At 36.6% G+C, this 26,812-nt stretch overlaps 1 long non-coding RNA gene across 1 annotated transcript, besides 4 other annotated features; it reads right to left on the minus strand.

The window, feature by feature from the left end:
• Positions 1-1,169: 1,169 nt before the first annotated feature.
• On the minus strand, positions 1,170-23,260 carry LOC105377901 (uncharacterized). Its single transcript, XR_942793.1, has 3 exons — positions 23,218-23,260; positions 13,221-13,337; positions 1,170-1,388 (listed from the first exon to the last, which is right to left on the minus strand). It is a non-coding gene; the product is annotated as an uncharacterized LOC105377901 (long non-coding RNA).
• Positions 3,881-4,685: an enhancer, noted in NCBI's record as "OCT4-NANOG-H3K27ac hESC enhancer chr6:95263598-95264402 (GRCh37/hg19 assembly coordinates)". NCBI's record gives its function as "activates a minimal SCP1, AML or CMV promoter by ChIP-STARR-seq in naive H9 embryonic stem cells {active_cell/tissue: H9 hESC(naive)}" and the evidence as "EXISTENCE:reporter gene assay evidence [ECO:0000049][PMID:30033119]".
• Positions 6,797-7,720: an enhancer, noted in NCBI's record as "H3K27ac hESC enhancer chr6:95266514-95267437 (GRCh37/hg19 assembly coordinates)". NCBI's record gives its function as "activates a minimal SCP1, AML or CMV promoter by ChIP-STARR-seq in primed H9 embryonic stem cells {active_cell/tissue: H9 hESC(primed)}" and the evidence as "EXISTENCE:reporter gene assay evidence [ECO:0000049][PMID:30033119]".
• Positions 8,644-9,566: an enhancer, noted in NCBI's record as "OCT4-NANOG-H3K27ac hESC enhancer chr6:95268361-95269283 (GRCh37/hg19 assembly coordinates)". NCBI's record gives its function as "activates a minimal SCP1, AML or CMV promoter by ChIP-STARR-seq in naive and primed H9 embryonic stem cells {active_cell/tissue: H9 hESC(naive and primed)}" and the evidence as "EXISTENCE:reporter gene assay evidence [ECO:0000049][PMID:30033119]".
• Positions 9,567-10,488: an enhancer, noted in NCBI's record as "OCT4-NANOG-H3K27ac hESC enhancer chr6:95269284-95270205 (GRCh37/hg19 assembly coordinates)". NCBI's record gives its function as "activates a minimal SCP1, AML or CMV promoter by ChIP-STARR-seq in naive and primed H9 embryonic stem cells {active_cell/tissue: H9 hESC(naive and primed)}" and the evidence as "EXISTENCE:reporter gene assay evidence [ECO:0000049][PMID:30033119]".
• Positions 23,261-26,812: the final 3,552 nt, after the last annotated feature.

Consider the following 26,812-nt stretch of genomic DNA (forward strand, 5'->3'; position numbering starts at 1 on the left):
ATAAAATGTAGAAAATGTGTTGGAAGAACATTTCTATTTTTTAATGTAAAAAAACAAATCCTTAGATCTAATAAATGACAATATGAGAAATGGAGTAAAAAGTATATTTTTTACTTCCTCTAGTAACAGTGATATAGAAAGCAAATCTGCAACGAATTGATCTGTAATTAGGTTTAATTTTGATCTTGATGTAGATTTTAAGAGTTTTTTTTTGGGACCATAAATTGCATTATAAATAACATTTTATATTTATTTAATTATGGCAGGAAGTAGAAAAAAACAGCTAATTATGTAAACAGAAAACATATTTTGTGCAATGCTATGAATCGGGTTATTGAGAGTTGTGTATAGGCAGGCCTGTGGTCCCTTTCAGCATTGTTAACTCTTCATCCATAATTTCTAATGAAGTCTATTGAACTGTACACTGGGGACAATATATCTGTTTAAAAATGAATTTCTGAGCTTCAAGGGTTTCTTTTTGATCTAAAGAAATTGCACACTCCAATTCATTATGCATATTTGACCTAATGCTCATCTATTCTAAATAAAAAAAGGACAGAAGAGCTATGTTTTCTCCTGTTAAATAAAATAAAATTGTCATTGTGAACATTAATAGAAACTTCATGTATTGATCTAATCTTTAGCTAAGTGTTGTGGATGTCTGCTTTTGATTTTGTCACTTGGCTCTAAAGCTTGTCAATATTTTATTGATTGGAAAATGGAAAGTCAATGGTTTTATTCACTATGGCCAATATAAAGTTTAGTATAGCCTCATAATCAGACATAGGAAGAACTAATAGGTATAGAATTATGTTAGAAATTTATTGTTAGACATCATTATTATTTAAAAGAAATTATAGAGAATGACATATATTCAAGCCTCTAAAGACAATTTGCATTTATTTTTTCAGATTAATTGCAGTAATAAGCTGATGAAAATCCTAGTTACCATACTGTGATGGCATATTTTATACCCATGAATCAATATTTGACTTGTTATATAAATATCTTATTACAGTTTCTTTGTATATAGAAAATGAGTAAACTAGTCCAACACCAAAACAAGAAAGGACTATAAAATTATGTCAAGGCAGGCAGGCATGCTTTCTCAGCTGCTGGGTGAAATACTTGTTTCAAGTGAAAAATTCCAACTTTTATTTTACCTTATGCTTTTTAATATATCGTGCTATTTAATCTTCTATCTGGATCAGTGCTTACATGCCCATTTTGAAGGTCTCTTTGCTGTACTAGATGCTCTTCGATTTAAAGGCATTCTTAGGTCATTAGTTTCATAAGTAACATTTTTTCAGGTCACTAGGTTCTCAGAGTCCCTTTTTTATGATATATTTTACTTGATATTTCTGTACATGGTTTCTTGATAGACTCCTCTGGGTAAAAGAGCAAAAGAGAATAAAGGGCAAAATATGTAGGCTGTAACCTAAACAGCATTGCCAGATTGTATTAAACTCTACTTTATTTGAGCAGATAGAGTGCACAGACCAATTTTCTGGTTGTAAAGGGGCATTTTTTAAAGGTGTGCAGCAATGAATGTGTGTGAGTGTGCATGTGTGTGCTATGTGTATATTGATAAATAGACTTAAAATATTTCTTCAATTCTAGTCACAGTTACAAAGAGACAAAATCTGTTGAAAAACACAACACTTTCTGTTGAAAGTGTCATTTCATGTTCTTAACTTTCTCTACCCAGAACGAACTTTGTTTGAATAAAAGGAAGTACATATTATCTTGAATTATAACACTTGTTGATATAAACATAAAATAGGAAGACAGGAAATGGTTTCACTATCTTTTCTGGAGAAGGTGAAATTGTGCATTTAAATCCTTGAGGAACGAACTCTATCTTACATTTGCCTAAATCCTTTGGGATATATGGAAGGCACTATTTGTCTCCTACTTTCCTTACCCTCAAGACATGAAAAGCAAGCACGATTTTGAGAGAACAAATCCACATTGTGGAAACTTAAGAATAACAGTCTGGTATAAAAGAACTAGGGGAAAGCTAAAGTGATAAAAACAACAAAAGTCATTCTGGAAAAGCCAAGGACCAAGTGGCAGGAACACTCCTTTAATGGAGGATAAATTCAGAGACTGTGAGGTAAGAACTTCTGGAGAACAGTCCCGAGTTTTCCTGAGAGAGTCTGAGTGACAACCTGTTAAATATAAGTGGGGAAAGTCCAGGGCAATTGCTGACCAAAGTTGCCACCAAGTGGGGAATATGTGGTTCCAGAGCTTGTGTTTAGATGGTTAAAGGGACCCAGATAGAATGTCATTGATGTTTTACCCAAAATGTAGATTAAAAATATCAACTGAGTAAAAATTAGATTATTTAAGGTAATTTTTTGAGTGGCTTAGCCCTGTCATATTTGTCTCTTATGTGCATAAAATAGGCAAATATTTTGGGGTTCAATTGGGTAGCAGGAAATATTTAAATATGATGATTATAATTCATATCCATGAAATAAATGATAAAGTGTTTTAAAGTATTTGTTTAAGCAGAAACTAAAACCAACTATTTTGTGGGGCATTAAATAAGGAAATAACTGGAATATCTTAGTGTTTTCTTTCAATGCTGAATTGTGTGTGTGTGTGTGTGTGTGTGTGTGTGTGTGTGTGTAGATACAAAGTTTTTAGGGACAGGACTGATGTATGGTGGTGGGATGGCCCTCATTTTGTTAAAATTTAAAACCCTGGACAGTAATCTGCCTGGAAGAAAAGTTGAACTGTCTTTGCTCTAAAGTTTCTTTAAAGCGAAGGGACAAGACATCTAATGAAGCAGTTCTGACTGCTTCAACACATAGATGCATGCTTATAGTAGCTGTTTATTTGCTTGATTATTTAATTTTTTTACTTATACTCACTCCAGTGTGACAGGCACAGTCAGAAGCCAGCCCATACAACGTTGGCATTTCTCATTCCCGTAAATGCTGATGATTTCTTAATGCAACATCTGAAAATTCTTTCTTAAGGATGCTAGGGAGTTAACACCCCAAGTTCAGCTCGCAAGCAAAAATGGGTGGGGATCAATGGATTAATACATTCATTTTCTCTGCCCTGTGGTGGGAAAGTCTGAGCAGGATTTATACGGTCTCCAAGAGATCCACTGATTTACCCACCAGTGGCCCCAATACTAACGCTCACATTAATGTGTCTTTGGTTGTTTTTTTTCCTGTCCAAGTCTCACTTTTATTCCTTTTCCAGTGTTTCTTTGAACTATCTCTCATAACAACCAAACCTAAGACAATCTCTGTTTTTATATAAGTTTTCATGATAGCTTACAAGAATACAAATGATTTAATAAAATAGAGAGGAGAAATATCAAGTTCCTAAATTATATAATGTAACATAAGCTTAAAAAATTTAAAAGCAGGTATTGAAGTCACTTATGATTAAGAAAAAAATAATGTTATAATTTTATCAGCATATTATTGAAATTACAATACAGTAATATATTTATTAAAAATCATTACCTTGAAATTTGCCCCCCAAATAATTTTCTGAATATCATTATTAGACTTGATTCATTAAATGTTGAAAGCACAAACCAAAATATTTTAGAATTGTTACTATCAGATGATTTTTTTACACAAGAGAAAGTTTCTAATTGTTTGTGAAAGCCAAACTGTCTTATCAATACTTATGGGCCTTATATTTTTATACCTGAGATGGGACAAAATTTGGATAATGAAAAACCATTGCTAGTTGCTAAGATACAAGTTATGTGAAGGGAGATGAGTATATAGCACTTTATATCATTGTGCATGTGTGTTTATTTTGTGTGTGTGTGTGTGTGTGTGTGTACATTACGCATGTAGTCTCTGATTCTCAAATAGTATTAAAATTCAGTATTTTCAACAAGATGGAATACATGAACTTTTCTCTATTTCTCCCTTCAAGTGTTTCATGCGCGTCCGTGTGAAGAGACCACCAAACAGGCTTTGTGTGAGCAACATGGCTGTTTATTTCTCCTGGGTGCAGGTGGGGTGAGTCCGAAAAGAGAGTCAGCGAAGGGAGATAGGGGTGGGGCCGTTTTATAAGATTTGGGAAGGTAATGGAAAATTACAGTCAAAGGGGGTTGTTCTCTGGTGGGCAGGGGTGGGGGTCACAAGGTGCTCAGTGGGGGTGCTTTCTGAGCCAGGATGAGCCAGGAAAAGGACTTTCACAAGGTAATGTCATCAGTTAAGGCAAGGACCGGCCATTTACACTTCTTTTGTGGTAGAATGTCATCAGTTAAGGTGGGGCAGGGCATATTCACTTCTTTTGTGAGTCTTCAGTTACTTCAGGCCATCTGGGCATATACGGGCAAGTCACAGGGGATGCGATGGCTTGGGTTGGGCTCAGAGGCCTAACATTCCTGCCTTCTTATATTAATAAGAAAAATAAAACAAAACAGTGTCGAAGTGTTGGGGTGGCGAAAATTTTTGGGGGGTGGTATGGAGAGAGAATGGGCGATGTTTCTCAGGGCTGCTTCAAGCGGGATTAGGGGCGGCGTGGGAACCTAGAGTGGGAGAGATTAAGCTGAAGGGAGGTCTTGTGGTAAGGGGTGATATTGTGGGGATGTTAGAAGAAACATTTGTCGTATAGAATGATTGGTGATGGCCTGGATACGGTTTTGTATGAACTGAAAAACTAAATGGAATAACAGAAGGAGAAAAACAGGTATAAAAGATCTAAGAATTGGGACGACTCAGGATATCTGATTAGAGAGTGCTTAAGGAGATTTGGCATAGTCCTGCCAGCAAAGATTATTTATTTACTTCAAGAGTTAAGAGTGGCAGTTTGGGGATAGCACCAGGAGATATCAGCTGTGATGGCTTGGAAAAACAGTGTAAACCGGCAGTGTAAACAAGAGCAGGGCCTGTATGAGTAGTTGAGAACGGTGAATAGGAGTATGACTGGACAGAAAATAGTAGCGATTACAAGTTTTCTTTTGGTGGGGGGGTGCAGTCTAAGTTGGTCTGGTGTCTGGAATGAGACTGGGGCCTAATAAAAAGGAGCGTCTATACAGGAGCTTAAATGGGCTGTACCTTGTAGCATTCCGAGGACAGGCCTGAATTCTGAGAAGCGAAAGTGGTAAAAGTATTGTCCAGTCCTTTTTAAGTTGGTGGCTGAGCTTGGTGAGGTGTGTTTTTAAAAGACCTTTCGTCCGTTCCACTTTTCTTGAAGACGGAGGACCGTAAGGGATATAAAGGTTTCACTGAATATTAAAAGCCTGAAAAACTGCTTGGCTGATTTGACTAATAAAGGCTGGTCTGTTACCAGACTGTATAGAGGTGGGAAGGCTAAACTGAGGAATTATGTCTGACAGAAGGGAAGAAATGACTGCGGTGGCCTTCTCAGACCCTGTAGGAAAGGCCTTTACTTATTCAGTGAAAGTGTCTATTTAGACTAAGAGGTATTTTAGTTTCCTGACTTGGGACATGTTGAGTAAAGCTAATTTGCCAGTCCTGGGTGGGGGCAAATCCTCGAGCTTGATGTGTAGGGAAGGGAGGGGGGCCTGAATAATCCCTGAGGAGTAGTAGAATAGCAAATGGAACACTGAGAAGTTATTTCCTTGAGGATAGATTTCCAGGATGGAAAGGAAATGAGAGGTTCTGAGAGGCGGGCTAGTGGCTTGTACTATAGCATAGCCTGCCTTTGCTGGTGTGTGGCGATTAGGCCTGGTGGAACTGCCATCAATAAATCAAGCGTGATCAGGGTGAGGAACAGGAAAGAAGGAAATATGGGGAAATGAGGTGAATATCAGGTGGATCAGAGAGATACAGTCATGGCGGTCAGGTGTGGTATCAGGAATAATGTGGGAGGCCGGATTGAAGTCCAGGCCAGGAACAATGGTAATTGTGGGACTTAAAGAGTGAGTACAGCTGAAGGAGCCGGGGAGCAGAAAGTATATCCATCAGGTATGAGGAAGAAAACAGATTTTGGAAGTTATGAGAAATGTAGAGAGTGAGTTGAGCATAGTTTGTGATTTTTAGGGCCTCTAACAGTATTAAAGCAGCAGCAGCCACTGCACACAGACATGAGGGCTAGGCTAAAACCGTAAGGTCAAGTTGTTTGGACAGAAAGGCTACACGGTGTGGTCCCAGCTCTTGCGTAAGAATTCTGACTGCGCTAACCATGCCTAGGAAGGAAAGGAGTTGTTGTTTTGTAGAAGGTGCTGGGGTTGGAGAGATCAGTTGGACACGATTGGCAGGGAGAGCACGTGTGTTTTTATGAGAATTATGCTGAGATAGGTAACAGATGAGGAAGAAATTTGGGCTTGATTGAAGTAATGGGGGCTGCCTGTGAAGCTTTGTGGCAGTACAGCCTAGGTAATTTGCTGAGCTTGATGGGTGTCAGGGTCAGTCCAAGTGAAAGTGAAGAGAGGCTGGGATTAAGGGTGCAAAGGAATAGTAAAGAAAGCATGTTTGAGATCTAGAACAGAATAATGGGTTGTAGAGGCAGGTATTGAGGAAAGGAGAGTATATGGGTTTGGCACCACGGGGTGGATAGGCAAAACAATTTGGTTGATAAGGCGCAGATCCTGAACTAACTTGTAAGGCTTGTCTGGTTTTAGGACAGGTAAAATGGGGGAATTGTAAGGAGAGTTTATAGGCTTTAAAAGGCCATGCTGTAGCAGGCGAGTGATAACAGGCTTTAATCTTTTTAAAGTGTGCTGTGGGATGGGATATTGGTGTTGAGTGGGGTAAGGGTGATTAGGTTTTAATGAGATGATAAGGGGTGCATGATCGGTTGCCAAGGAGGGAGTAGAGGTATCTTATACTTGTGGGTTAAGGTGGGGGGATACAAGAGGAGGACGCAAAGGAGGCTTTGGATTGGGAAGAAGGGCGGCAACGAGATATAGCTGTAGTTCAGGAATAGTCAGGGAAGCAGATAATTTAGTTAAAGTGTCTCAGCCTAATAAGGGAACTGGGCTGGTGGGGATAACTAAAAAGGAGTGCTTAAAAGAGTATTGTCTAAGTTGGCACCAGAGTTGGGGAGTTTTAAGAGGTTTAGAAGCCTGGCCGTCAATACCCACAACAGTTATGGAGGCAAGGGAAACAGGCCCTTGAAAAGAAGGTAATGTGGAGTGGGTAGCCTCCGTATTGATTAAGAAGGGGACGGGCTTACCTTCCACTGTGAGAGTTACCCGAAGCTCGGCGTCCGTGATGGTCTAGGGGGCTTCCGAGGTGATCGGGCAGTGTCAGTCTTCAGCCGCTAAGCTGAGAAAATCTGGGAAGGAGTCAGTCAGACAGCCTTGGGCCAGAGTTCCAGGGGCTCTGGGAGTGGCTGCCAGGTGAGTTGAACAGTCCGATTTTCAGTGGGGTCCCACACAGATGGGACGCGGCTTAGGAGGACTCCCGGGCTGCGGGCATTCCTTGGCCCAGTGGCCAGATTTCCAGCAAGTGTAGCAAGCTCCTGCGGGAGGAGGTTCTGGAGCAACGCCTGGCCGCTGCGGTTCAGGAGTTTGGAAGTTCTTGTGTGCTGGAGATGTGGCTGGGGGGTTTGTCTCACAGTGGAGGCAAGGAATTGCAAGTTTTTTCTGTTATTGTACACCTTGAAGGCGAGGTTAATTAAATCCTGTTGTGGGGTTTGAGGGCTGGAATTTAATTTTTGGAGTTTTATTTAATGTTGGGAGCAGATTGGGTAATAAAATGTATATTGAGAATAAGACGGCCTTTTGACTTTTTAGGGTCTAGGGCTGTAAAGTGTCTCAGGGTTGCTGCCAAACAAGTCATGAACTGGGCTGGATTTTTATATTTGATGAAAAAGAGCCTAAACGCTATCTGATTTGGGATAAAGAAAAAGGAGCATTAACCTTGACTATGCCTTTGGCTCCAGCCACCTTTTTAAGAGTGAATTGCTGGGCGGAGGGGGAGGGCTAGTCACGGAACGAAACTGTAAGCCGGACCAGGTGTGAGGAGGAGAGGTGATAAAAGGATTATAGGGTGGAGGAGCAGAGGCTGAGGAAGAATTGGGACCTAGTTCAGCCTGGCGAGGAGGGGAGAGGTCAGATGGGTCTGTAGAAAAGGAAGATTAGAAAGACTCAGCGACACTTGGGGTTGGTACTGAGGGAACAGGCGGGAGGGAAAGAAGGAAGATTTGGGACGAGTTGCACTGGGCACAGAGACTAGGAAGGGACTGATGTGTAAAAGAATGCCTGGACGTCAGGCACCTCAGACCGTTTGCCTATTTTACGACAAGAATTATTTAGATTTTGCAGGATGGAAAAATTCAAAGTGCCATTTTCTGGCTATTTGGAACTTCTGTCCAGTTTGTATTGGGGTCAAGCAGCATTGCAGAAGAAAATAAGGCATTTAGGTTTTAGGTCAGGTGTGAGTTGAAGAGGTTTTAAGTTTTTGAGAACACAGGCTAAGGGAGAAGGAGGAGGAATGGAAGGTGGAAGCTTACCCATAGTGAAGGAGGCAAGCCCAGAGAAAAGAGTAGAGACACGGAGAAGGGGTGGGGGGTTCTTGCCCTCCAGAAAAGCAGAGAAGGGGTTGGGGCACGGAAATAAGGGATTGGGGCACAGAGATAAGAGGTCAGGGTGTGGAAGTAAGCGATTGGGGGGTTCTTGCCCCCTAGGAAAGCGGGACTTGCCACTGGGGTGAAGGAGAAGGGGTAGAGACAAGGAGAGAAGGGGTTGAGGGGTACTTGCCCCTTCCCCAGAAAAGCGGGACTTGCGGCTAAGGGTGAAGGACCAAGGCTGGCATCCCTGTGTGGTCTGACACCCTTGAAACGTGAGTGTATAATCAGAGAGCAATCCCTGCAGTGATTAAACACCAAGGGAAGGCTGCCTTCCCAGTCCGTGACCGGCGCCGGAGTTTTGGGTCCACGGATAAAACGTGTCTCCTTTGTCTCTACCAAAGGAATTGAAAGGAATTGAAATTAAGAGAAGGGAGAGATTGAAGTGTGGCGTCAAGATTGAAAGGAGAAAGAGGTTGAGGGATAGTGAGGAAGGTTGGAGAAGGGAGTAAAAAGAGGCCGCTTACCGGATTTGAAATTGGTGAGATGTTTCTTGGGCTGGTTGGTCTGAGGACCTGAGGTCGTATGTGGATCTTTCTCGAGGTCGTATGTGGATCTTTCTCATGGAGCAAAGAACAGGAGGACAGGGGATTGATCTCCCAAGGGAGGTCCCCCGATCCGAGTCAAGGCACCAAATTTCATGCGTGTCCGTGTGAGGAGACCACCAAACAGGCTTTGTGTAAGCAACATGGCTGTTTATTTCACCTGGGTGCAGGCGGGCTGAGTCCAAAAAGAGAGTCAGCGAAGGGAGATAGGGGTGGGGCCGTTTTATAGGATTTGGGAAGGTAATGGAAAATTACAGTCAAAGGGGGTTATTCTCTGGTGGGCAGGGGTGGGGGTCACAAGGTGCTCAGTGGGGGTGCTTTTTGAGCCAGGATGAGCCAGGAAAAGGACTTTCACAAGGTAATGTCATCAGTTAAGGCAAGGACTAGCCATTTACACTTCTTTTGTGGTGGAATGTCATCAGTTAAGGTGGGGCAGGGCATATTCACTTCTTTTGTGAGTCTTCAGTTACTTCAGGCCATCTGGGCGTATAGGTGCAAGTCACAGGGGATGCGATGGCTTGGCTTGGGCTCAGAGGCCTGACAAAGTGTAGCTGAAAACCATGGACAAATGTAATTACATAAAATCAACATAAGATAACGAAAATGTGGAGGGAAGAAGGTAGACTGTTGAAGGCCCTTGTGAACAAAGAATGACATGGCAGTGTGTTGTCTAGGTTTTCTTTTTGCTTCATATATGACTGATTGGGAGGTAGAGAAGTTGGGAGTCACAAAACACCAACAGTTAAAGACAGAAAAGCCAAACAAGAGCCTGATCTCTCTAGTTGAAAAGCCAGGGGAAAGACAGCCTAGCAGGAAGGAAAACATCTAAGTAAGAACTGCCCCACTGTCCAGACATTAAGGTGTGGACTCACAATAGCCCTTCCAAGAAAAACCTAACGGGGGGCCTAGTCTTCCACCCTTAGCCAGCTGTAATGAAGCACCCTTGGATTGCCACCAGAAGTATGTCACAACAGGACTGAAGGCAGAATGAAGAACTGCCTTTCACTACATCTGCATGATAATGAGAGGTTTTGTTTTGCCCTCACCCATCTTTAGTCAGTGGAGACCACATAGAGATCTTAAACTACATCCACCCTGATTTAATGAGGGTCCCTTTTGGTTCAACCTGCTAGAAGGTGTCAGAGGAGGCCAACTGGAGAGCCAGGACTTTTCACAGCCCAAAGATAACATGTCTCTCACCTGGGAAAGAAGGAGGGCATGTGGAGCAGTCATAAGGCACCCCTGACTCTCCAGCCAGCCTAGTACTAGGGAAAGCCCAGGGAGAGGTTTCACCACACTCTGCCCTGTAGTAGGGAGGCACCTTCTCACTCCTGGGGTATCAACAGAGGTAGAGTGGAAGACCTGGACTTTTGCCCCATCTGGCAGTAATGAGATAGTACTTTCTCTCCTCTGTGGGCACAGTGTTAGAAAAGGCCTAGTAAAACAGATGATTTAAATATAATTCAGAGTTTCATGACATAAGACTCAAAATGTCTAAGATTTAATACAAAATCACTTGTTAAACCAAGAACATGAAAATCTCAACTGGAATTAGAAAAGTCATTCAACAGAGGCCAACACCCAAATTATACAGATATTGCAATTATATGGCAAGTATATTAAAGCAGCAATCACAAAAATGAGCATACTTGAAACAAATTGAAAAATAGAAATGATTAGTAGAGACATAAATACAAAATGATGGAAATGGAAATGTGTTTCTTGGTTCCATTGAATTGAAGCATATAATAACTGAAAGAAAAAGACATTTTAAGAATGGATTGCTTAATATTAGAATGTTGAAGACAAAGGATAGACTCTGTCAACTTGAAGAGAGAACAATAGAAATAATCCACTTGAGTAACAGGGAAAACAGATTGAAAAAAAAACAAAAAAGAAGAACAGATCCTCAAGAACTGTAAAACTGTAACAAAAGACCTAACTTTCATGTCATCAGTCTCTCTCAGGAGGAGAGGAAGAGGGTGGATCTGAAAAAGTCTTTGGAGAAATAATAGTTATAAAGTCCCCAAATTTTGCAAAATATGTAAATCTGCAGATTCAAGAATTTAAGTGTACCCCAAAGTGCACCCCAAAGAGGACCTTTACTCTCACACAACTATAATGAGGGAAATCAGGACATTATCAGATGATGGAAAACTAAGAATTTGTTGCCAGGAGATCCAGCCTTTCAAAAATTATGAAAGTTAGAAACAGAAAGTAAGTCATAAAAAGAAATATGATGAAAGAAAATACCCACTTTATAAAAGCAAATAAAAAGGTAAAGCACCTCCAGTGACTTCACGCTTTTCAGAATAGAATGCAGTCTTCTTTCTTTAGGCTCCAAGGTCTTAAATGAGTGACCCCTTCCTACCTCTGTGGCCTCAGCTTCTATCATCTTTGCCTTGTCCACTATGCTTAGGGTGTAATGGGGAATCAGAGACTTGGAGAGACCAAGTAACCTACTTCAAGGGCTTACTGGCTATTTTCAGTTTCTAAAATTTGTCAACTCCTGCTGCCACCAGGCTGTTGTGCAGGTTGTTTCTTCTGTCTTGAATCTCCCTCCAGTTCCAACATTTTTTCTCCTCAACCAACCCATGCTCAGCCTCAGACAAAAAGTTTCCAATCTCAAATGCAAGTACCACCTGTAACATTATTTTCCATCACACTCTGTGCTTTTGTCTCTTAAAACATATCACAGGTAATTGTGCATCTGTGTGTTTTGTGTATATTTCTTCTTCTAGACTTCATCCTCCATGACATTAAGAAGCTCCCTCTGCTTTGTGATTGTAAGCCCTGAAACCTTATAAATAGCAGACATTCAATAAACACTTCATGCCTGGAAAAAAAATTTAATGGTAGAATTTAAGTGTTTGGGTATATGGATGTTCCGTAGAAGTTTCTCTCAACTGTTCTATACTTTGCAGTTAATTTAACCACTTGCAAATATTCTTGCAATATAACTTGCAAATATTCACAATAAAATGGGAAAAATGTCAGTATTAAATGAACATTAATACCCCAGAGCCAGCATTGTATGCATTATGATTTAGAGTTAAATTTTCCTGTGAACATTTAAATTTCAATATATATTCAAAGATCAGGAAAGGTTAATAATGTTATAAATAATCTGTTTTTCTTCACAAAATTTTCCACAAGGTGAAAGAGCATCACAATGATCAATTATGGAATTACTATCCATGCATTCCTTTCTTTTCATATTTTTAGACTCTATATGTCAACTCATTGATAGGGCCTATTCTCTGATGGACTATTTGACCATATAATGAAATGGCATTTTAAAAGACATATAGATTAAACTTATCCAATAGAGATATAATGCAAGTCAAATATGTAATTTTATTTTTTAGTAGGCATATTTAAAAGAATAAAAAGAAGAGGTTAAATTAACGTCAATAATCTTTTGCTTAATCAAATATATTTAAAATATAATTATTTTAACATGTAAGCAATGTAAAAATTGTTGATGTGTTATACATAATTTTGTCTTCTAAAGCTTCATAGTTACAGTATGTGTTTTACATGTTCAACACATCTCAACATGTTTCAAATCCAAGACTAGTGAAGCTAGTATAATAAAGATATAGGCAATAGGGCCAGTGCATTTAGGTTAAAACATAACTTATATTCATGAAATGACTAGTGATCATCAATGTATTCAGAGTTCTTCAGTTAAAATAGACATTGAATAATTCTAGTAGCTAAAGTATGCACTGGGTTCAGTTAAATCAAATGAATTGTTTGAAGACGAATCCAGGGCTCCAGACTCATATGACATAATAGGCACCAGGAAATCTGAGGCTTTATTTCAAATGCTATAAACCTACAAGAGCTAAGCATCCTGAACAATATTAGACATCATTGTTTATCTACAGCTTTTCCTGTGTGTGCCAAATCTTGGACATCTATGTTCAAAACCCATTTTTATTGTTGGTTCTAAAAATTAGACCCAAGGCTCTCCAAAATTATTTGATTTATTAGCCTTACTTATGCTTTCGTGGTGCAATAAGAAATTTATAGTAAGTTTAACATTTTATAGGGTCCTAAAAAGCTTCTTCGGTGTTTGATTTCATATCCTGTCAGACCAACCTTGCCAATGGCTCATGTTTGTTTGTTTTGAGTTTTTTTCCTTACCTTATAGTCTGTCAAACTAGAAACTGAGAGGATGAGATTCACATTTTCCCAAACAGGGACCAAGAAGAATTGCCAATTTCACTTCCTGTAGCTTGCCTTTCATCTCCATTACGTAACCTAAATGAGGAAAGTGGTCTCATTATTCTTTTTTAAAAGTGTATTTTTATTGTAAATTGACAAATTAAAGTAGTATATATTGAGTTCTCAAAATCATCGTTCACACAAGTCAGGCTTATAACACAGAACATACAAATTATGGGAAGTGAAGGGCTTGCCCAAAATCTAGAAAATAAAGTATAATTTAACATATCTCCTTGCTTACAAAGATTGGACAGAACTCCCAAAAAGAATAAGCCCAGATCCTTGACAGCCTTATACATCATGGGAAGAGTGTCAGTCCAGGACTTCCAGTTAACAGACACTGGGAAGGAGTTAGAAGTACAGGAGGTTTTGGGGGAAATAACATCTGTAAAATATAACGGAAGGGGAAGTAGGATTGAATATAGGCTGAGGTAGAATGAGAGAGGTAAAAGGTGACATGCTATATTTGTCCAGGAACAACCAGATTAACGGTGGTGCTGCTTGCTGAGTGAGGAAAACTGAGAGGAGTAGGTTTGGGAGGAAAAAAGTCAGCAATGCCATATAAGGAAACTATTAGGTATCTATGGGGAGACATTAAACAGGCAGTTAGGTATTGGAATTTGAATCTCAGAGGAGCAGTCTAGGCTGAATATATATGTGTATATATATATATGAATACATATATATGAATATATATACGAATAAATATATGAATATGCATACACATGCACACATATACACATAATATATTATTTAAATATAATACTCGTATACACATATTTATTATACACATTATATATGTAAACTATGTATTATATGTAACTATGTATATAATTATATGCGAGAACTATGACTTCATATATATGCACATATATATGAATTTCTTTAGGACTGCTTCCCAAACTCAATTATTCTCAGTCTCAACAAATAAATGCGGATTTTCACCTCTGGTCCTACGTTGTTTTATACATATTAAGTTATTCTGTAAAGAAGAAAAAAGTGTACCAACTTCTAAGACCACAGAAATAAAATCATAGTATTTTACCATTTAATCCTTCCCTTATAAAAATGTATCTGCTACTTAGAAAAAGTATTCTACTCTATTAATAAATAATAAATGACACAATAAACATTTGTTTTTGTGACCATTTAAAGAAATATTTTTCTAATTCTTCTCATTTGATGGCAGAAGAGTATTTGAATGAATGTAAAACTGAATGTAGGCTTGTCTCTGGGTTGTGGAAGGATTTATAAATATGCATTTTATAGGGACAGTATTTCTTTCCCCAATGCCATATGTGTTGCAAGAGAGACTCAAAGGGGCTAATCTTTGATGTTGGCCAATGTCCCATCTTTTACGCCAACCGATTTTTGTTGTTTTGTTTTTCCTCCTCTCAGTTATAATTTGGTGGAGGTAAGCACAATTCTAGCTTCATAACCCCATATACTCTTGTTGCTCTGAGGAAATTAACTTTTCATATTAGCAAACATTTTGTGGTTTGTGATATTCTTCAGCTATTTTATATTTTCTTTGACAGATTTTGAATACCAATAACTAAGGTCTTCCCAGATGGCATGTGGAAAACCATAGTCACTCTTGTCACTGCTGTTATTTCCCCTTAGGTGGAAGGGACTTGCCTTGTCTCAGATGAGACTCTGGACTGTGGACTTCTGGGTTAATGCTAGAATGAGTTAAGACTTTGGGGGACTGTTGGGAAGGCATGATTGGTTTTGAAATGTGAGGGCACAGGATTTGAAGAGGCCAGGGGCGAAATGATATGGTTTGGCTGTGTCCCTACCCAAATCTCATCTTGAATTGTACTCCCATAACTCCCATGTGTTGTGTGAGGGGCCCGGTGGAAGATAATTTGAATCATGAGGGAGGTTCCCCCAATACTGTTCTCATGGTAGTGAATAAGTCTCACAGGATCTGAGGGTTTTATCAGATGTTTCCTCTTTTGCATCTTTCTCATTTTTCTCTTGTTGCAACCACGTAAGGAGTGCCTTCCACCTCCTGCCATGATTCTGAGGGGGCCTCCCAAGCCATGTGAAACTGTAAGTCCAATTAAACCTCTTTTTCTTCCCAGTCTAGAGTATGTCTTTATCAGCAGTGTGAAAATGGACTAAAACAAGCATTTATTAATTCAGTTAGCAAATTAATATTTACTGAGCACCTACCACATAGCAGGCATTGCTCTAGTTGCTGGCGATACAGCCATGCACAAAACAAATAAAATGCCTGCCCTCAAGGATCTTAAACTTAAATTTGATTGAAGGCATACTTGAATGCAGTGATTGGAGATCAGTTAAACCATTTTCTATGTTAACTTCACCTAGTTGAAACACATCGATAAACCTGTTAAAAGCAGTATAGAAGAATCTCACTCCTTGTACTTGAAATCTGAATTTCAGCTGTTTTTTTCATATATATATATGTTTGCAATTTCTTGCAGTAAATAAATTTTTACAAATGTCTCTTTCTGAGGATAACTCTGTGTTCCATGACTCAGTACTTTAAGAATTGCTTATTTTCCTACATTGTCTTTGACTGTATCTGAGAAGCCACCTGGGACTTAGGAATAAGTAGCATTTTCAGCTTGTTCTCAGTCCCTAGGCTTCTAAGGATCCAATTTTCAGTCTTAAATAGTAACTTTTTTCAGTGTCTTCCCAGATCAGTGATTCTTCTAGCATTACATCTCTCATAAATAGTCAGTCAAATACATTTCCAAGTAAACAAGCCCCAAATTCCTTATGAGACAATTTCCAGAAGCAGGATATGCCTTTGCTGTTGTTTCTCCATCTTGGTTCCACTTTACTTAATTGTGTTCGCATATAATTCAAGCTTATCTAACTTTGGTGGAAGAGTCAACATTCTTAATTGTTTCTTCCCCTGAGTCATTTTTTGTCTAATTTAAAGGATTTCCTTCTCCCTAGACCTTTAGATTTCATCTGAAACATTTCTATTTACCTTGGGTTTTAATCGTATGTGTGATAGCAGACCCATAAGTCTATCTTTCTTCCCCCACCAAAACATTTTGCATTTCTTCTCTCACCGTTTGGAGTATGAAATTAGTTGATTGGTTGGCTTTTCCAACATTGCAAGGCCATGAATTTCTCGTAACCTTGCAATCTTGCTTGCCAATGCAAACTCTTTCTTGAGCTCCTCTCTTTCTTATCAAGGAGAAGTCAATACAACCTGACAAATAATAATAACATTGTTTTGTGTCTTTTTTCTCTCATCCTAAAAATTTATTTTGTATATCACCTGTCTCCCAAGTACTGTATTTCAGGTAAAACTTTCACTATTTTTTTTTTATTTTACCGCTGCATAACTTTAATTGTCATCTTTCAAGAATGCAAAATAATGTTTCTACTATTCCCTCCTTTGTTTCCAAGCAAATATTTACAAACTTTTTAAGTAGCAACCTTCTACAATGAATGACAGGTAGAAGATGGAAAAAATTATAGTCATATTTTAAAGGGATAAGGAAGGGATTTGGGGTGAAAGGGCAAGAAAAAGTACTATGGACTGGGAACTGACAAAGGTATATTTGGGATGGAGATAAGAAGCTCTGCAATATAGACTGTGGTAAATTGGGTCTAATCCTATAGGAACTATAAGAAAGGATGTTGTATGTTAGATATTTCTTAACTTTGAATGTCTTTTGAGGGATAGAGGTAAAGAATGAATTTCCTTTTATATTAAACCATTGACAAGCTATGTTGTAGTTTCTCAGAGCTTGAACACTGGATTATAATTTCAAAGAAGCTATTCAATACAAATCACAATGGCCTCATTTTAAACTTAAAAAAGTTATTATAATTTATGGATGTAATAACACTGACATACTTCTAACAAAATGGTGATCTATTTTGCTTTATTGTAATCTCTGATTAGAAGTGCCTAGGATTAACCATGTAGATTTAAGGAACTATTTTCCCTTTATCACAGGTTATCTAGAGATTTTTGTATCTTTTTTAATGTTGAAGATAATTTTTGAAGTGTGAATGGGAGTAAGACAAGAAATAAAACTCAATTATTGTATTTTTCTTCCTTCAACCCAAAAAGTCAGTACAAAAGCCACAAATATTATACTGTTTTATACCTATCATTTTGATTCACAGTCACATTAATTTTCTCTACATTTCTCCAAAGCAGAAATACAGATGGATAGCTTAAAATGGGACAGTAGGGAGCAGTTAAAAGCAATTACATTTTCAAGCCTGTGATGCTTGGATTGAAAATTTGTAAGAGTTATAGGTCAATTGGATTGAGTAATATATATTAGAGATCTGTTTGGGACTTTTATTTTGCTGAATTTTGCTCACCGTATTCACCTTTAGACATGTAAAGAATAGGGAATAGTGAAAACTCAAATTTAGGGGCTGAATTTCATAGCCTATTCTTAATATATTTTATATTATACAGCATATATTCTTAGGATAAGAGGAGAAAGTGATAGAGTAGTTTAAAGAGCCCAGTGATAAGTTAAAAGATGATGGTCATTCTCCTTTGACACTAACTATAGCTAGAATTTTAGCTAGTAACTTATACCTCTCCAAATCCTAATTTTCATCTCTTCATTTGAAGGGACTGATGGTTTAATCAAATTCCATTCCACTGTAAAATTTCACTGAAAAATGATTTTGATTAGTTACATGTAACAAAATATTTTCTGGTTTATAATTAGTAAAATCCATAAAATATGAGCTCATTATTATAATTTACTCCCAGTAAGTAAAAAGAAATTTGAACTTGAGTATTCACTCAAGCCCATTTTTCTCTGGAAAAGATGATTATTATCTCTACATGTTCTTTCCCAGTTTTCTTATAATAGAGAAAATAAAATAATGTATATATCCATGAAAGCAAAATAATAAACTATGCACTCATAAACTGTGAGGCAAATGTGTACTGCATTATTTTCTCTCTTAATATATACGTAAAGAAGTAAGGCTGGGCACAGTGATTCATGCCTATAATTCCAACACTTTGAGAGGCAAAGTTGGGTGGATCACTTGAGGCTAGGAGTTCGAGACCAGCGTGGGCATCATTGCAAAACCCTGTCTTTACCAAAAAAAGAAAAAAAAAAATTAAGCTGAGTGTGGTGTTGTGCACCTGTAGTCCCAGCTACTTGGGAGGCTGAGGCAGAAGAATCCCTTGAGCCTAGGAGCAGCGATCTGAGTTTGCACCACTGCACTCCAGCCTGGGCAACAGAATGAGACTGTCTCTCCCTCTATCTCTTACACACACACACACACACACACACACACACAATATTATATAATATATAATATACATATATATACTATAATTTACATATTATATATACACATATATATACTTACTTTATGCAACTTAAGCAGAAATAGAATTATATTTTAAACATAGGAGCCATATGTGGAGAACGGGAATACCAATTGATTGCAAGGTCATAATATGACTGCTTTAAAAACCAAGGGGAAGTAGTCAATGGTGATACTAACCTGCTTACATGACTTTGTGTTCTGAGGTCATCAAAATGCAATAATGGAAATAAATTACCAGAAAACTATTCATAAACAATTTTGGTGTTCATAATTACTATTTCTACTAACACCAAGAAGATGTTAGTAGGTGAAGCAATACACTTCTAATCATTTTTTGCAAAACATATCATGTTAGGAATACTGGATGCTAACCAATCATCATTCTGAAAGTAGAGAGGTATATAGGTGAATACATATGTACATATATATGTAGAATCATATGGCTAAGTCTACACACACATGCATTCTTATTGTGTTTTTTAAATGTAGTTTAATGGATTTCTGTGAAATGGAGAAAGTTATCAAAAAGGTTTTTCCTAAAAATGTTTGGAAGTTTACTTATTCTGAGTTATCTCTTTTCAAAAAAATACCCAAAAAAAAAAAAAGGGAAAATTATCTATTGGGAACTTCCATTGTTCACAAATGTTAAGATATCTTAAGGATTATGGATTTTTCAACAAAAAGCAAGAAGCGCTTTTTTCTTTTTTTGTTGGCCAGCACACATTTTTATAGTGAAACATGACCCCACTTGTACAAAGCTTATACTCTTCCAATGCTCATTAAACCCTAAAGAGCTCAAATCACCATTTCATGGATTTGAACTCTTTCTAGTCAGTGTCTTCACATTTATTATTTTGTCCATATGTCCTATTAAAAGTAATAGATAATTCTTTTCTCACTTTCTGACTCTTGTTTTCAATATGGTGCTTGTAACTGATAAAGTGCTTGTAACTGATAAAGTGAGATAAGATGAGATCTTTGTTTGCCCCTTAATTTTGTACTGTGTATTTCATTTGGCATCATGTCCTGGGAAATCCATGAGCTACCCCATTTGGAGAAGTCAGAATTCTCTTCATGTTAAATCAATGAAAATTGCTGTAACTAAATTCTACCAGTTTCTTCAAACAATTATGCTTTAATGGAACATTTCCAAAAAGGCATGTACCTTAATGAATGCTATAGGAAAACTCTGAAATGCTGAACTTGTGTCAAAAGTGATTTTTTTAAATTAGGGAATGTTTGAAAAGCTACTTGTACAAAAACAAATCAGAAATATCTGCATGAAAATCCAAATTCAATATTTTCATTTTTTAGTTACCCAGGGCTTATAAATCACTAACTGTATATGATGATTCTTAATTATGAAAATAAATATACTTTTCCTCACATCAAATGTAAATATTATAATTATATGGTATCGTTTAAGTTTTGAAAGCTAAATTTGTAGAGAAATTAATAATTTAAGGTGTTGTATTTTTTCTATTGTATTTAAGTGTATCTCCATAAAACAAGATAAATTCATCTTTACTATCAGTGAAATGTATAATTTTTTTTCACTACTTACTTTGTTTTATTCAGAATGAATTGTCTTTCAGGTGTTTTTTTTTTATGTTTTTGAGTAAATGGACTTATAAAAGAGTTAAATATATTAGTCAATGAAAAATAGACACAATTTTCTTTTATGAGGTAACAGAAAGAATATTTAAAGAGGTATATTACACAATATTACCATGTTAGGAAAAACAATGAGGTGGCAGTAAAGAAGAAATGGATTGTTTCAGGGCAATATGATGGATTTGTGAGGAGGAAGTCATATTATATAAAATGCCTGTTCAAGGTTGGAGTATAAGCATGATTCTTTTCATTTTGTACTACAAATCTCCAACCTAATCTTTCTGAAAGTCTTTCAGAAAAAGATGAGATAATGACAATCTCATGCTTCTTGGCTTACCTTCTCATAAACCCTGCTCTCAAACTTTAGAATATCAATATCGATTGTTTTCGAATATTATCCATTTGGTGACCACTTTCTTTTCAACAAATATTACTAGAATGCTCAATTATCAGCTGTTAAATCTCTGAACAATATCCTTTGTCTGGCCAGCTGCTGAAACGTCCAGTTGCTGGGCTTATTTCATCTCAGACTCATAGGCGGCCTGCCAATAGCATCACATCCCAGCACCCTTCAAGGGGTCCTGATACCGTCCTTTCAGTGGCCAGCTGTTGCAGTTATAGTTAAATAATTGCCAAACTAAAGGCCACAAAAAACAATGCCTTGTCATTCTTTTTATTTTTGAGCTTTTATCTTGTCCAAGCTTCATCATCAATGTCATATTGCTATAAGCCATAGCCAGCATCTTACAGATCTCCAGAAAGCTTTTAGAAGTTATTTTGTATTCATTGTAGATGGTGAATAATTGAAGCAATCCACCTGCTCTGGGGCTTGTCTGTCAACTTTGATATTGGTAGCAGCGTGAGTGACACTGGCTTACTGTTATGAATTTGGGTACTGGTTTTTTAGACACAGAGAAAAATGTATGTTTTAAGATATATCTCTATAGGTGATTTTGCTCCTGAAAAGTATGATTAAGTATTACACTTTTTAGTATTCATTACTGCATTACTATTTTATCATTAAACATTTATTTCAAATAAGAAAATAAATTGAATTATGTTTATAAAATAAATATGTGCTAAGTGTACAAAAATATTTAAATTATGGCAAATATATAAAGGAGTAAATAATCTATCTCCTTGACATCAAAATAACCACTTTCAAATATTAGACTTTGCTTCTAGTCTTGCCTCTGGAAACTATGTGTATTTCCGTTAATAATTTCTTTTTCTCCCAGAGCTTTCATCTGATGATTAAAAAAAACTAACATTTACTGTTACCTTTCCATGTCTATCTTTAGGATTTTACAAACCAAAACAAGCATGTGCAGATAAATGTAATTCAGCTATTTTTAGTTAAAATATTATGTTACTATATAGTTTTCTGTTTTCATTTAATAAATTTGTGTATTATTTTGGGTAAAGTTATTTTTCTCATAAGTGGTATGTTAATAACATTTGCTCGTATCAGTAAAAATATTTAAAAATTTAATTTGAATTAAATATAAATTTCCATCTTCTTTATTAACAATCTTTACTTGATCATTAAAATGATGTTTTGAATTTAGGGCATCTATGTTTTTTATTTTATAAACACAGTTGCAATGAGCAATGTGGCTTATAAGTGTGGATGGTTTTGATTATTTATTGGGGTTAGGCTTCTAGAACTAAACTTAATGATAAAAGGACATAAAACTTTAAAAAATCTTGATTCACATAGCCTCTTGCTTAAAAGAAAGAAAATGTATACTCCAAAAAATAGTATAAAAAAGTCTGTTCTGACAAAGCATATATCACTATTTTTATGCTATATATTTCCCATTCAAAGATAATGATTATTTTTATATTAATTATTTAAATATTCTATATACAGTTACTTTAAAAATATTTTATTGTTGTATGTAAAAAATCAGAAAAAATAGTTGAGAAAATAATTACTACTTGCATTTTATGAATGCATATGTAGAAGATATATGTTAATTTAAATAGATATGTATATATAAACATGACCACAGATACTAATGCTATATCTATATAAAATTTGTCACTTTTTGCAAAAGTAGAATCAAACCCAGAAACCGTATTATAATCAAATAGAGGACATTAACTAGGAGAAGAATATAATCTAATCAAACATGGTATTGGGTAAACTGAATTTTTATATTTATAGTCAAATAAATCATAAGGATCAAGAATTAAGTACAACTGGATTGAAGATTCAAGTGTAAATAAGAGATAACTTTAAAATAATTAACAACGATCTTTTTTTTTGCACAAGACTATATTTTCTTAAACAAGATATAAAATGTAAACAAAAAAAGATAAGCAATGGTATGTGAAACTATGGAAAAACTAAAACGTTGAGACATAGTTTAAAAAACCCAGTTTAAATCATAAAATACATGAAATGTTGGAAAGGTTATGGTAAACAACAAATGTTTATTTATTGCTGTGAGAGTACAAATTGTTCTAAACATTTTGGAGTACTATTTGATTATATTTAGTCCAATTTAAAAGTCATATAACTTAAGGCATAAGAATAGGAATTGTACTTTTAAATATCTATTTTAAAGAAGCACTCATACATGTACCTACAAAGTTATATAAAACTCAACCAGCATCTTGTATGTCTAAATGGTAGAAACCAGTAAGATGAACAAACATGCATGATGAGATTAAATAGTAAAGTAACTTTGTATTCATTTCCCAGTGTGTCTTTATTAGACGGAGTTAAGTTTTTAACTTTAAAAAGCTGACAGGACTTGTCATTTTTCTCTGATTATTTTAAATCACAAAAAATCTAAAATAAATAAATAAATAAATATATATACACAACAACAATAAAAAGCCCAGTCTTTTATAATAATAATAAAAAAACTAGTCACAGTATTTTCCAAACCTAAGTTCCACCCTGTAGTGAGTGATAAGCCTCTACTCTGAGAACAAGAGTGTAAGTTAGATTATTTTTTCTTTATCTCTCATGGTAACTCACCTTCACAGCTTCTTATCCCTTTACCTTCCAAGAATGCAAGCCTATGGATGGAACAAAATAAGAGAAATTAGATGACATAACAAGTCTATCCAGGAAGTCATTTGTGGTTCCTTACAGAAACTCCCCCACTGCCAGTCATGTCTCACAGCAGTGCCCTCCTTTGGGTCAGGCTCTCTCCCTCTCTGAGGTCTTTCTAGCTTTCCTAGCTTTACTCTGCCGAGTCTATTTTCCTTGCCAAGTGCATTTCATGGAAAGACCTAGAATGACACTCTCCTGTGCACTCTCCTTTCATAGCTTCCAGCCAGTCTACATAAAACACTAATAATATATATTCATTATTTGCCCTAATAAAATCTTGTCCTAACCGATTCCACTACAACAGAAAGATCTACTTTGGCTTGTCCATAAGCAGCTAGCTAGTTCATCTCTAGACCTGTAGAGCTGTCAAGAAGGAATTTGACAGTAATACAATGTATTCTTCAACTATAAGAAATGCATATGGCACTTCCCACATGGCATTCCTTGATTCTCTGTCATTAGACTTGAGATGAGGAACATGTACGTTTTATCCTGCGAATGCATAGAAAACCAATAGTGATCACCAAAAGTCCTTTAAAAACTGATAGTCTGTTAGTATCCAAGAAATGCATTTATTCTTAATACGTAGTTAAGACAACAATAGTAACCACTAGAAATAATAAATGGCTATAAGTAATTTAGTTTATTTCATGTGTATAGCAATAAAATCACTTAGCTTTTAAGAATCATTACAAATACCATTCAGGACATAGGCATTGGCAAGGACTTCATGTCTAAAACACCAAAAGCAATGGCAACAAAAGCCAGAATTGACAAGTGAGATCTAATTAAAGTGAAGAGCTTCTGCACAGCAAGAGAAACTACCATCAGAGTGAACAGGCAACCTATAGAATGGGAGAAAATTTTTGCAATCTACTCATCTGACAAAGGGCTAATATCCAGAATCTACAATGAACTCAAACAAATTTACAAGAAAAAAACAAACAACCCCATCAAAAAGTGGGCAGAGGATATGAACAGACACTTCTCAAAAGAAGACATTTATGCAGCCAAAAGACACATGAAAAAATGCTCATCATCACTGGCCATCAGAGAAATGCAAATCAAAACCACAATGAGATACCATCTCACACCAGTTAGAATGGCAGCCATTAAAAAGTCAGGAAAAAACAGGTGCAGTAGAGGATGTGGATAAATAGGAACACTTTTACACTGTTGGTGGGATGGTAAACTAGTTCAACCATTGTGGAAGACAGTGTGGCAATTCCTCAGGGATCTAGAACTAGAAATACCATTTGACCCAGCCATCCCATTACTGGGTATATACCCAAAGGATTATAAATCATGCTGCTGTAAAGACACATGCACATGTATGTTTATTGTGGCACTATTCACAATAGCAAAGACTTGGAACCAACCCAAATGTCCACCAATGATAGACTGGATTAAGAAAATGTGGCACATATACACTATGGAATACTAGGCAGCTGTAAAAAAGGATGAATTCATGTCCTTTGTAGGGACATGGATGAAGCTGGAAACTATCATTCTCAGCAAACTATCGCAAGGACAAGCAACCTAACACTGCATGTTCTCACTCATAGGTGGGAATTGAACAATGGGAACACTTGGACACAGGAAGGGGAACATCACACACTGGGGCCTGTTGTGGGGTGGGGGATGGGGGTGGGATAGCATTAGGAGATATACCTAATGTAAATGACGAGTTAATGGGTGCAGCACACCAACATGGCACATGCATACATATGTAACAAACCTGCATGTTGTGCACATGTACCCTAGAACTTAAAGTATAATAAAAAAAGAGAAAAATATATATATATATATTTGTGAGAACCACTAAAGAGCAAAAGACTTACCTATGTGAAAGGGAAACAATAACTGAAGGAGGAAGACCCGTGAAAATAAAGGAAGAGAATGTGATGAATACTAAAACCAGGGAAGTGATTTTTCCTGTGACATTAGAAAGGACACCTCCATTTGTAATACAGATCTAAGCAAGGAAAGGTGGATGTAAATATTATTCTAGATGTGCAATACAGGGAGCTGTTGTTTAGTTAAATGTATGTTTTTTCCTATAATGAATTTCTTCTACCATACTTCCTGCAATTTATGTTTCAGATCACTGTAGAAGAGCAGTTTAAGTAATAACAGACAAAATCTACGTGAAAAAATAAACATGTTTAACCTATGAGCCAAAAGTAAGTGAATGGCTTTTAAGGCAGATAAATTATCTGTAATTTAAAACTCACTTTTCTCTACACCTAGTAGAAGAAAGGGCAATTTTAGCATTTTGTAGACAGTGTTTCCTAAATTGGTGGAATAAATATTTATTGCCACAATCTTGGTAAAGTTACGATTTTCAAAGATTATGCAATGGCCTTTGCCTATTAATTTTGTTCATCTTGCACAAAAAGCTATATGTTTCTTTCACATATTTTGATATTTCATGCTTGTTTTTCTGTAATTGTAATAATAATAATGTCTTAAGTTTTAACTCAAGGGCTGAGGAATGTCTTTCCTTGTTCATTTAAATCATTCCAAGAAGGTGGGTTAGAAAAAGGCCTATGTGACTTTTAATATAATTTATTTTTCATCTGTCATCTCTCACAGTTTCACATAATTCTTATTTGTAATCTCAAAGTATGCATACTGATTTGTTTTTTAAATTTTTTCCTTACTGTAATTTGAAAAGGTAATCACTTCATGCATTTGAAAAAATGAAATCAATATTATCAATTTGTTTAAATTTTCCCCTCCTTTAGTTACCCTTAAAGATCTTGGAATGTATATATTTCTTTGACACATGTGGACAGTGGTATGATAATTTTTTTCAGTATTATAAATGCTTCCTTGATGCATTTCATCTCTAATCAATATTATAGAGGCAACAAAATGTAAAGTATACATTGAGTGTGAGCCTGACATTATCCATAGACCCATGCCATGGCCTTAGATAATCAACATATCCACCTGTATTAGTCGATTCTCAAGCTGTTATAATTATGTACCTGACGCTGGGTAATTTATAAAGGAAAGAGGTTTAACTGACTCACAGATACGCAGGTCTGGAGTAGCCTCTGGAAACTTACAATCATGGCAGAAGGGGAAGCAAACACATCCTTATTCACATGGAGACAGCGAGGAGAAGTGCAGAGCAAAGCTGGGGAAAGACCTCTCATAAAACCATCACATCTCAGGAGAGCTCACTCACTATCATGAAAACAATAGGAATATAACCACCCTGTGATTAAACTACCTCCCACTTGGTCCCTCCCACAACATGTGGGGATTATGGGAACTACAATTCAAGATGAGATTTAGGTGGGGACACAACCAAACCTAATCATTCCAAGCCTAGACCCTCCCAAATCTTATGTCCTCACATTTCAAAATACAATCATGCCTTCCCAACAGTTACCCAAAGTCTTAATGCATTCCAGCATTAACTTAAACGTCCAAGTTCGAAGTCTCATCTGAGACAAGGCAAGTCCCTTCCACCTTTGAGCTTATAAAATCAAAAACAAGTTAGTTA

The sequence above is a fragment of the Homo sapiens genome, chromosome 6 (genome assembly GCF_000001405.40).
Source record: "Homo sapiens chromosome 6, GRCh38.p14 Primary Assembly".
NCBI classification, from domain to species: domain Eukaryota; kingdom Metazoa; phylum Chordata; class Mammalia; order Primates; family Hominidae; genus Homo; species Homo sapiens.